The following is an 11,743-nucleotide window of genomic DNA, read 5'->3' as shown; positions in this document are numbered from 1 at the left end:
TTTTATATAAATGTGACAGCAGTAACACAAACCTTTTTTGGTCTTGAAGAAGCTCTCTTATCTTCCAAAGATGTGTCTCTTGGATTTGCAGGTCTGAAGGAGAGAATTTGTAGATATCATGCTCCTGTTTACAGCTCAAGTATATAATCCAATTACAATAACTCATTGTAATTATCTGAGCAACATCAAGGGGAACATTATTGAAAGAGAAAAGAAATCCTCAAAAAGACCTACATGTGAGTATGAAAACCAGCTGTCCTGTAAAAAGGAACAACAATGAAAACGATCTCCACTTTGAACTTCAGAAGGTACAACATTGCTGCCTTTGGAGATAAAACATCGTATTTGACTTGCCTTCTAATCTATAGAAAGAATAAGTACATGATGTGTTGGTATCAAATGTCATTCTCCTACTTGTCCTCAATGATTTCCTGATGTACTTAAAATAAAATCCCAATCCTTAACTCAAACACCTGACCTGCCCCTCTCCCCACCTCACTCCCTGTGCTTCCTGCCTCTGGCTTTCTTTTTCAGCTCTCAAACACCCTAAGCGTTTCCTGCCTCAGGGCCTTTGTACATGCTGTTCCCAGCACTTAAGCCACTCCCTCCCCTACTTTGTGCAGAGCTTTGTGGGTCAGCTGCCCCTCCCCTACCTAAAGAGGCCCCCCGGCTAGACTCTGTTTTCATCTCCTTTGATTCCTTTAAAGCCCACAGGACTTGTAATTATCGTATTGGTTCCCTGGTTTTTAACCTGTCTCCTGTACTAGGATGTAAGTGCCATGAAGGAGGAACTGTGTGCGTTGCTCTCTGTTATAACCTGGCAATGAGAGGTGTTCAATGAATATTTTCTGAAAATCTATAGAGTACTTCAGGACACCCTCTGGCACCCACACACATATCCTGCTTCATTCTGGTGGAGCAGATAAAGGTACATTTCTTAGTGCCTTATTTCCAGTCTTTGATAGCCTACAGGGGACAAAATACACCACAAATAGAATAAGGAGGAGATAAAAGAAGAAAATAAATCTCAAAATATTCACTCTGAAATCTTTTAAGGTTTAGGACTATGTTTTAGCAATCTTTTCATTTCTTTTACTCTATACGCTATGATACTTTAAAATTAACTAAATGAAATCAATAGGTCTTCTTAAAGTAACACTTTTAATATGTTCCATACAAAGAGAACATGCATGGGTGTTTGAGGAGATGTAATGTTAAAATGTAAAATAAACTGGACTGCTTATAGGTGAAAGTGTTACAATTACAAAATTCAATTAGGTCCCCAAAATTTCGGCAAAAATGGTCATATATCTACAAAAATTATGTTTGCATCTATCCTTTGTCCTAGTAATAATTCTAGAATATATCCTAAAGACACATTGGTAAAAATAGGAAATGACTGATATACCCGGTTATTCACTGAGGCAGTATTTGGCAGCAAAACTGCAAGCAACCGAAGGCCATCGATAGGGAACTAGCCGAGTCGAGTATGGCACCTCCTCACAAGACAAAAAGGAATGAGGACAAGCACTGTGCACTGACATGGAGTGAACCCAGGTCACACTGTTAAGTTAAAAAAAAAAAAAAAGGTACACAATAGTATATGTTCTATGCTACCGTTTCTGCAAAAAAGGAAGGTAATATATAAAATAAACTCTGGCCTGGCACACTGGCTCATGCCTGTAATCCCAGCATGCCAGGAGGCCGAGGTGGGAGGATCACTTGAGGCTAGGAGTCTGAGACCAGCCTGGGCAACATAGGGAGACCCTGTCTCTACAAAAAAAATTAAATTAAATTAAATTAAAAAGTTAGCCAGGCATGGTGGCACACACCCGTAGTCGCAGCTACTCAGGAAGCTGAGGCAGGAAGATGGCTTGAGCCTGGGAGTTCAAGGCTACATTGAGCCAAGATTGCACCACTGTACTCCAGCCTCAGCAACAGAGTGAGACCCTATCTAAAATAAAATATAAAATATAAAATAAATAAATAAAATAAATAAGCATGGTGAAAGATAATCCAGAATTTAATTTAATGATTACTTATGGGGGAGAATACAGTTAAGACTTCTCTGAATATACTGTTACATGACTCTGGAAACATATGTTTCTATAGTTAAAAAATAAAATTAAATGAATGTTAAAACAAAATAAAGAGAATAAACCTATCATATTGGTGACATAGCCACAAATGGCTTTTGAGCATAGTATACTGATTGCACATACCTAGAACATATTCTTTTGACAAATAAGCTGCAAAGAAATCACACTTCTTTCAACAATTTAACTGTTACTGTGGTGTATTTTAAAGTAGGTTAATACAAATAAGTAGTTTATGTTAAAGTTGTTAGGAGCCAAGATTCAATGTAGGAAAAATTAGATTTAAGTATAAAATCAAAGTTAAGAAAAAATTCTGTAATATAAAATTTGACTTAGACATATCAGTCTGAATTCACTTTTTTTTCTTTTTAGTTATCACCAAAAAGACCTGGAAGCAATAAGAAGCGATAGCAATGAGCACACCTACAGCCCCTTCCCTTAAATCCTCTCCCCACCAAGAGGCAAGGGGTCCTTGGAGGAATGGCTGGGTTCAAAGCCAGAGTAGCACTTACAAAATGAGCCTGGGACATCCTGTTATGCCAGAAAGCAAGAGGGCCGTGCCAAAGGAACACAGAGCCAATCATGCAACTGAGCATCAAAAGGAATAAGAAAGGCAATTGAGTGAGACGCATTCAATATACAAACCCCAGGAGCTCATAATGACTGTAGAGAATGGGGAAGAAAGAGACAGACAGGCAGGCAGAGAGATGGAGAGACCCAAGGCACTGAACAAAATTGGAATTAACTAGGGGCCCAACTTTTTACCCTAAAAATTGGTAATTAAATGGAGAGAAGCATCTATCCTATTTCCTCTATGAACTCTCTTTCAAGACAAAGAAACAACCAGCTAATATGTGCATTCTCCTCATCAAACACCTGATTCAAACCATGAAAAGCAATGGGTGAAAAAAGCGGCTGGAAGGCTGATCCAGGACTTGACACTGCCAGGACCAGGCTGTCACCACCTGAAGCCAGGGATCGATCTTAGCATGACTCAAAGAGGAACAACCAGACACGTGTGCCTCCTGCTGTGGTGCAATGGGAAACACCCAGCACCCTCTGAAGACATTCTTGTCAAAAGACTGAAGCAAAACCTAATCAAGCCTCTGGAGCTAATTTTTAATGGAAAGAACTGAAGGGACAGAGGAACTACTAGGAAGCAAGTAGCAAAATATCAAAAGGTGAGCCACTCTACAGCACAACTGCCCCTTTTTTTTTGCAATAAGGACACGAGGGAAAAAAAGCCGGTAAGGTGGGAGGAGTTGCTCTAAATGAAAGCGATTTGAGACATAACAATCAGATGTAATCAGAGGAACTTCTTTGCAATCTGAAGCAAACCAGCTGCTAAAAGAGGACAGTCAAGGAAATGTGATTCGGGGTATGAGATTACACTGTGTGCTGTTAACTATGTGATCATGTCATTGTAGCTATGTAAACCAATGTCTACAGCCTTAGAGATGCACAGTGAAGAACAGGAATGACGGGACATGTCGTCTGACATGTGTGACTTAAAATGCTTCAGCAAACAAACAAAAAAAGGGAAAGTAAAAAAGAGCAGACAAAGCAAATGTGGTAAAATCATTGTAACCATTGCATTTAGGTAAGAGATAATAGTCTACTCTAAAAGATTCTATTGTAAAATATTGTGTATGGTTGAAATTTTCATGGTTAAAAAAAAAAATCTGTGAATGCTAAGATATTCCTTTCCTGCTCTTCTGGCAATGGCAAACTAATCCCAGGACCACCGCATAGAGGGGCAACTGTGACTGAAACGAATATAATCCCCGAAACGGCTCTCATTTCCCCAGTCAATCCTGAGCACAGGAGAATGAACACAGGAAGAGGCCTCTGGACAGCAGGCAAAGGCAGTGGCTGCAGGCGAAGGCAGTGGCTGCAGGGCAGCGACAAGCAAAAGACAAAGGCAGCAGCACTGCGCTCTGCTCTTTTGCCTGGCAAGCTAACCCCAGCAGGGGTGTCTTCCAGAGCCCCCTCCAGGAATCAAGCTGCCAGGGTTAGGGTACTCCGCCAGCCTAGCCTCAGGAGAGTCCAACTCTGCTCAGAAGGGCAACAGTTCAATACCAAGGTCCCTGACAGGGGAGTCCAACATGACCTCCCACTAGAGTTCTTCTTCAGGCATCAGGCACTGCCATTCCTTCCAGATAAAATTCTCAGACCTGTCTGTAAGTCTCACTGCACGGTGGGGGGATGAGAGGGGTTAAGGTGCATTCTGTAGGAAAAAGAAAGATAAAAGAAACTCCGGCAAATTTTCCACGTGACCAACCAAAGAACAGAAAGGCCAACACACAGCAAGGATCTCCAGTACAGACTCGCCTAACACAGCCCCCACCCAACTCTTCCACACAGATAGAGGCAGCTGTAAATCCAGAGGCAGATACAGGTTATGGAACCCCACAGAGCTCACAGATCCTGAACACACCACGTTCCCAAGGCTATCTCTCACTCCAGACTCCCCCTTATGTCTCAAAATCAACGTCCTACTGGGGCTTTCAAGGGGACATCCCACATGACTGCAAGTCCCTCTTTCTGACCTGAGGAGGAAGGCTGCCAAGGACAAACTCAGAGCCTGCACCTGCAAGCTCAGGAACGCCCCCAGCATCCTGTGCACTCGACTCACACTGGAGGAGAACTCAAACAACAAAATGACAGTGCAGTTGAAAACCAAGAAAACGAAAGCTTAAAATTTAGCCCATCTACCTCAAATCCTCACCTTTCATGAAAAGGAGCCTTTCCTCTCTCCCTGTAGTTTGTGATACCACAGAATACTGAATCAGTACTAATATTTCAGTACAATTAAAATTGAGGGCAACTAGCTAATAAAGAACTGATGCTAAGATTCAAGGAAGTCAAAAACTGAGTCTTAAATACAAGAACCATATCCTGAGAGAACACGTGCTCTGGGTCACGGCATAAGAAAGGGGAACCTGAAGACGGGGGTACAGGACTAACAGGCTGGGAGAATGAAGCTGGTTTCCCTTGAAGGCTGTTCAGACCAAAAGTTCCTCACTCTAGCGGCAGAAGAGGCGAACCCGCTGCATGAAGGGGAGACTACCACTCCAGCATAGGGCCGAGGCTGCAGGAGTTGGTTGCAGCAGCCCTAATGGGATGACCAGAGCATCAGAGGAATGCCAACTATTTACATGGAGGTAGAGGTTGGTAAGCTACAATCGATGTTCCACAAAGTGGACTATGAACTGGATTATATTCAACACAGGCTGGATATGAAATAAAGACTAATCACCTTGACTGGGCAGGAGAGAAAAATCCAGTTACACTCCTAAAGGAATTAGCAGCCATTCAGCCTTGACATCAGATTATGTCCACAGTGTTCAGCCAGCAGATGCCGACTACTAAGCAGGAGGCCAAGTGCCTCGTCTGTGTTGCTCTGCGCAAGGCTATGACCTCCGTGCAAGAACTGCAGAGGCACAGGGACCCAGCTGTCACCACCAACTGAGGAAGAGAATAGCGCCGCCCAGCAACTAACATCCCACTGCCAGGCTGGTGAAGAAAAGAGTACGCAGAAGGGCACACTGGTGCAGAGCCCAGTACCAGGGAGGTATAGGACAATGTCTTACTAGCACTTGGGGCTGGCATGGAGACAGCTTGTTGTAGGGATGGGCCAGTGATGCCTTTAGAAAGACGGGGGATGTGAGATGGAGGGCAGATGCTGTATGAATGAAGAACATTCCCAAGAGAAGGGAACAGCAAAGAGGGAACTTTAAAATGTATTCCCACTTAATCTTGGAACTTCAGGCCAACATGTCACCTAACACTACTTTGCATCTGTTTTCTTTTTATATAATGAGGATAATACAGACATGCTGGCCTATCTCTCACACACACACACACACACACACACACACACACACACACACATTCTATAAATTATCATCCAGTCAAAATGTGAAGTAACAAACTTTGGAAACTAAAAGATAGACAACTGTATTATATATTTACATTGTTTTCAAAAATGCTGACTGCATGTTATGGTAAGACTGCCAGCACCGAGTATGTGACCTGTGGTCATTCAACAAAACCCAACTCAAGTAATAAACTGGCTTCTTGTGTGAACAAAAAAGTAGAGAGGGTAGACAAAATAAGAACAGCAAAAAGCTCACGGTTTCTTAACCTGGGTTCAACTCGTGTGGTGACAGGCCCATAGGAGTACATTTTGTTTTTTTCTCTACTTTTGAGTTCATTTGAAATTTTCCATAATAAAATGGAAGCCAGGAAGCCTTTGCTTAGAACAGTGGTCCCCAACCTTTTTGGCAGCAGGGACCAGTTTTGTGGAAGACAATTTTTCCACAGACTGGGGGCAGGGGTGATGGTTTTTGGGATGATTCAAGTGCATTACACTTAAATTGTGCACTTTATTTCTATTATTATTACATTGTAATATATAATGAAATAATTATACAACTTACCATAATGTAGAATCAGTGGGAGCCCTGAGCTTGTTTTCCTGCAACTAGGTGGTCCCATCTGGAGGTGTTGGGAGACAGTAACAGATCATCAGGCATTAGATTCGCATAAGGAGCGTGCAACCTAGATCCCTTGCGTGTACAGTTTACAACAGGGTTCACGCCCCTACGAGAATCTAATGCCGCCGCTGATCTGAAAGGAGGTGGAGCTCAGGAGGTAATGCAAGCAATGGGGAGCAGCTATAAATAGATGAAGCTTCACTGGCTTTCTTCCCACCACTCACCTCATGCTGTGTGGCCTTGGTTCCTAACAGGCCATGGACTGGTACCCATCTGTGGCCCACAGGTTGGGGACCCCTGGCTTAGAAAATCCCTGTATGACAATCTAAAGCCGTAAGAAAGAATACAACAGTGTTCTAAATTACAAAGCTAAATAAACATTGCCTCCGCCTCCACTGACAACACCAACCTATGCAAGTCCAGAAGTCTGTAAGCAATCTGTCCATCTTGAGTGAAACTCTAGCCTTTAACCAAAACATCCTGTTCCAGCTTTCTGCTCTGTTAATCCTATGGAACCTTTTCTTTGCTCCCTCAGGACCTCCAGTCCTCTTTCAATCTTTGTCCTACTAATGTGGCCCTGTTTGTCTTTACTTCCTGGCTTCCATGCTGGCTTGGGTTCCTTATGCCCTCCCTCCACCCAGGTTCACCTCTCTCTTCTGTCATCATCACTGTTTCCATGGCCACACTCTAGCTCTATCACCCCCAGAAACTGTGCTCCCTCCCAAATCTGTGTTAAGCAACCCATTCTTGGACACCGGGTGCTCCCTCCCCTTCCAGTTAACTGGCTCCAGGAACTTCATGCAGTAGGCTTGCACCCAGTGGCCTGACCCTTTGTTCCCTGTCTGTTGTCCACAGCTTCTCTCTGCGCTCACCAGAACTCTCTGGCCCCACCTACTCTCAGTGACACCGCACCTTATTCAAACCCAACTCTCCATCTATCCATACACGCACCCAAGTGGCTGAATAATGCCAGGTTTATTTAACTCACGACCACACATCTCAAATGGGCACTGGAGTGCCCCTAAATTCCTCCAAAAGTCTTCAGTACACACATTTTCCCAATACTTTAAATTGCTACTTCATCATTCTCCTTTCTCTTCAAATCTCCCATCTTCCCTCTGACTCCCTCACTCGTGGCTGATAACCTGCCAAGAGCCTGTTTCTGATTAAGAAAATAGAAGCAGGCTGGGCGCATTGGCTCACGCTTGTAATCCCGTCACTTTGGGAGGCCAAGGCAGGTGGATCATGACATCAGGTGTTCGAGACCAGCCTGACCAACATGGTGAAACCCCGTCTCTACTAAAAATACAAAAATTAGCTGGGCATGGTGGCACGCACCTGTAATCCCAGCTACTCCAGAGGCTGAGGCAGGAGAATCGCTTGAACCTGGGAGACAGAGGTTGCAATGAGCTGAGATCGTGCCACTGCACTCCAGCCTGGGCGACAGAGCAAGACTCTGTCTCAAAAAAAAAAAAAAAAAGATGCAATTAGATGGCAAGCCCTTCATTTTCCTACTGCAAATCCACTAGGCCACCTGCATTCACACCTTCTACTCCAACAGGGGGTGCCCTGTTCCTAGGAAAGACCAGCCCTTCCACTTGTGCCCATGAGTGCACTTCCTGGGCCTTCTCCAAATGGAATCCTGTAAGTACTCCCTCTCATTGCCACTGTCAATTCCATCCTAGCTATAGGTCCATTCTCATACAAACATGTTCTAGTATCTTCCTTCTTAAAATTGTTTTGGATACCACAGCCCCACCCCTGCAGGCGGGTTTCTTTCCCAACATGCCACTGAAAACATGTTTCTTTCCCAACATGTCCTGCCTCTGTCAGGACAGGGCCCCAAGACAGGGCTGGAAACACCTGCTTTCTTAGCTGGCCCGTCCCTGCCCCTCACTAGCCACTCCTTGTTCCTTTTACTGCTGACCTCTCTTCTGTTCAACTTCTAAATCCTGGGGTGCTTCAGGGCTCCTGCTTGGGACCATTTCTTTTCTGAATCTATACCCTCTAAGTAATCTCACCAGTCACGTGATCTAAAATACTCTTTAGATGTTGGCTCCCATTTTTATCTCTAGCCCTGGACTGCTCCATAATCTCTGCTGAAAGGCACTACAACCACATTTCCAAACCAAATCTCCCCTCAAACTGTTCCTTCCTCATTCTTCCCCATCTCTGTCAAGCACACCAACATCCATCCAGATGCATTGTCCTTAATTCTGCTTTCCTCCAGCCCCACCAGTGCAAATCACTGCACACTCTACCTCCTCTCCACAACATAACCCAGCCCTGCCCTTGCATCTCTCCATGGCCACTACAAGCTCCACCCTATCCAGGCCACGGTCACCTCCTGCCTGCACTATTTCAACAGCCTCTCAACCACAGGTCTCTCTGGCTTTCATTCTTGCTCCTCCACAACTGGACCTCTACCAGTAGTCACCCTTATCTTTTAAAAATGTAAGTTAGAGAACGTCACTGCCCTGCTTAATCCTTCCATTGCTCTTTAGAACACACATCCTCTCACTGGCTCACAAGCTGGAGGTGGCCCAGCCACCGCCTCCTTCCAACCTCACCTCCTGCACTCTCTGCAAACCACACACCAGCCTCCCTCATCTCCTTTCTAGTCTTCAAGCTTGCCAGCCTCATGTGCCCTCAGTACCTTCACATGAGCCCCCTGCCCAGTTTCTTCCTGGTCCTCAGGGAGCTGGCATCTGCTCAACACCCAGGCCTCAGCACATGCGTTGTCTTCCTAGAAAGCGGCTCCCGGGCTTGTCAGTTTCAGCTGACTTACCTCTCTGCCCTCACACCTTTCTGACCACCTCTTTCTGCTTAATTTAACTTTTGTACAGAACATTACCACTTACTGCCTGGAATTATTGTGCTCATTTTTGCACATGCTTCCTTTGTTGTGCTCCTCTCCCTGCTCTCTTGAATGCAAGCTCCTTGATCAGCAGAAACTGCAGAGAATTTATGAAATTTGTGAATCTCTAAAACTCCTTCATCTCTTTGTCTTCCAAAGTCATTCAAGCACCAAATGTTTACTGAGTGTCTAACCTATGTCAGCTTCTGTGCCTTCAGCAGTGCAGAATCATAGCCAGTCCCTTTCCGAGTGCAAGCTGCAGTCTAGTGGGGAGACAATGTTCATCAAGGTGTCCACAAAGAAATGTCAAATAAATCTATGTGAAATGCTCCAAAGCAGCCCTGCACAGTGCTCTGAGCACCTCAGGCTGGGCTGGAAGTGAGGCTGACCTGGTCAGGGGTCAGAGGTCAGGGGAGACCACTTTGAACTGATGGCTGACCTCAGATCTAGAGGAGGCCTCTGCAGGGTGAAGAGAAGATACATGACCCGAGGGAAAGGCATGCGTGGAGGACCATGGTGAGGGGCAGGAGGCAAGCACGGGACAGAACAGGGCCAGCGGGGCTGGAGACGCTCAGTGCCAGATGAGAGGGTAGAAGCTAGGCATCGTGATCTTTATCTTAGTAGCAGTGGAAGCCTCCAGAGCGGTTAGCTTTTGTTTTAAAATTTGGTAGTAACATCAGATTTCCATTTTAAATAGAAAACTGTAGCTAAAGTACAGAAATTAAAGGATGGGTAGAAAGCAAGAGCATTTAGGGGTAAACATGGTAGGGGATCATCTTAGTCATTTGGGTTGGAAACAATGATCATAATCTGGACTAAAGCAATGGTGGAGATGAGAGAAAAATGTATCAGACTTGGTGACAGATTCAATACAATGGGTGAGGGACAAGGAAATGCCAAGGATGACCCCCAGGTCTTTTATTTGAATAACTGGATGGAGATGGAGCCATTCAGTAAGACAGAAAACTTTAGAAAGACCAAGGTTTGAAGACAAAGATTGTGATTTCCATTTTAGACATGCTCATGATATCCAAAAGTCGATGTCAAGGACAGCAGCTAGATGGATGGAACTGGCACTGAGATAAGAGATCAGGACTTTATAAGGTATACATGTGTGAGCCGTTAACATTTAGATGGTAACTTAAACAGGGGGAGGGAATAAGACTGCCTACCAACAAAGGGTGAAAAGGGAAGAGGGCCCTGGGACTAAGCTACAGGAGACCAACATTTAATGACTGAGTTTGAAAGAAGCCAAGTAGAAGAGCACATACTGAATGATTCCACTTACATAAAGTTGAAAAACAAGCAAATCAACTGATGCTGTTACACAACAGAGCAGACAGAGGGGCTAATGACTAGAAAGATGCACGAGGGAATTTCTAGGGATCGTTGTCATGTGCTGTCTTTATCTGGGCACTGGGGCACACAGGTGTGCTCAACTCATAGCTGTGAAAATTCATTACACTACAGCCCTATTTATAATCTGCATGTTAGACTTCAAGGAAAAGTTCAGGGAAGAAATAAAAATGAGAGGAATTCCACTAAACTATGGGAGAGAAAAGAAATAACAGAAAGGGCCAATGGAGACAGGATCCAAAGCTCCACGAGAGGAATGAGCTCTGGAGAGGAGAAGGACGGGCCTCTATGAACAGGCGAAGGTAGGAAGTGGTGTGTGTGTTTAAGTAGAAACTGACAGTCCCTGGCTGCTGGGAAGCAGGAAGCAAGGCCATCTGCTGAGAAGGAGAGGGCAATGGGGAGCCTGGAGGTTTGAGGAGAACAGAGGTGGTGTGAGATGGTTGTCTGGAGGGTGGGAGAGTGGCATGACCCAAGAAACGTAGGGAGACTGCCAGCAGCATCGAGGGTGGGCATGGATTTGGCCCAGGGCTCAGTTCCTCAGGGGCTGCATGGGGAAGGCAGATAGCTAAGTTTCTGCAAAACTGAGTTTTTGCCAAATGAGAATCGTCAAAGGACAAACGGGCCTTCCTTCTAAAGGAAATCATCCCCTATCCCAATCCAAATCTCTACCTTCACATGCTAACAGAATCATAGACCACCAAGGTCTTCACAGTGATACCCTCAGCTGGGTCTTCCAAGCCTCAGGAATGCTTGTGTGACCTCACCCCAACTTGCTATGTGGCTATTGCCCCCTTCCCCATGTTCAATCTATGTCTGACCTGCAGCTAGCTCTGCTCTTCAAACCAAATGCCACACAGAAAAGGGAGAACCCATCAGAGAACTCCCTCCAATTCCAGCCAAACTATCAAGGTACATGTACTGCCCGACTCTAGCCC

General features: G+C 44.9%; 2 protein-coding genes across 4 annotated transcripts in view, besides 3 other annotated features; both read right to left on the bottom strand.

Moving 5' to 3' along the window:
- Positions 1–11,743, bottom strand: part of ZNF664-RFLNA (ZNF664-RFLNA readthrough) — a 342,810-nt gene that overhangs the window by 304,551 nt on the left and 26,516 nt on the right. The window lies entirely within an intron of this gene.
- ZNF664 (zinc finger protein 664) overlaps positions 1–11,743 on the bottom strand; it is a 42,213-nt gene that overhangs the window by 3,954 nt on the left and 26,516 nt on the right. For both annotated transcript variants that reach the window (NM_152437.3, NM_001204298.2), the window contains exon 4: positions 33–93. The gene's annotated coding sequence lies outside the window, so the exon portion shown is untranslated. The remainder of the gene's footprint in view (positions 1–32; positions 94–11,743) is intronic.
- Positions 4,450–4,509: an enhancer, noted in NCBI's record as "active region_7279". NCBI's record gives its function as "activates an Ori minimal core promoter by ATAC-STARR-seq in GM12878 lymphoblastoid cells {active_cell/tissue: GM12878}" and the evidence as "EXISTENCE:reporter gene assay evidence [ECO:0000049][PMID:35858748]".
- Positions 4,730–4,789: an enhancer, noted in NCBI's record as "active region_7278". NCBI's record gives its function as "activates an Ori minimal core promoter by ATAC-STARR-seq in GM12878 lymphoblastoid cells {active_cell/tissue: GM12878}" and the evidence as "EXISTENCE:reporter gene assay evidence [ECO:0000049][PMID:35858748]".
- Positions 4,810–4,859: an enhancer, noted in NCBI's record as "active region_7277". NCBI's record gives its function as "activates an Ori minimal core promoter by ATAC-STARR-seq in GM12878 lymphoblastoid cells {active_cell/tissue: GM12878}" and the evidence as "EXISTENCE:reporter gene assay evidence [ECO:0000049][PMID:35858748]".

Source organism: Homo sapiens, chromosome 12 (genome assembly GCF_000001405.40).
Source record: "Homo sapiens chromosome 12, GRCh38.p14 Primary Assembly".
In the NCBI taxonomy this organism is placed as follows: Eukaryota; Metazoa; Chordata; class Mammalia; order Primates; family Hominidae; genus Homo; species Homo sapiens.
The sequence above is the reverse complement of the archived record's forward strand: the minus strand, read 5'-3'. Positions and strand labels throughout refer to the sequence as shown.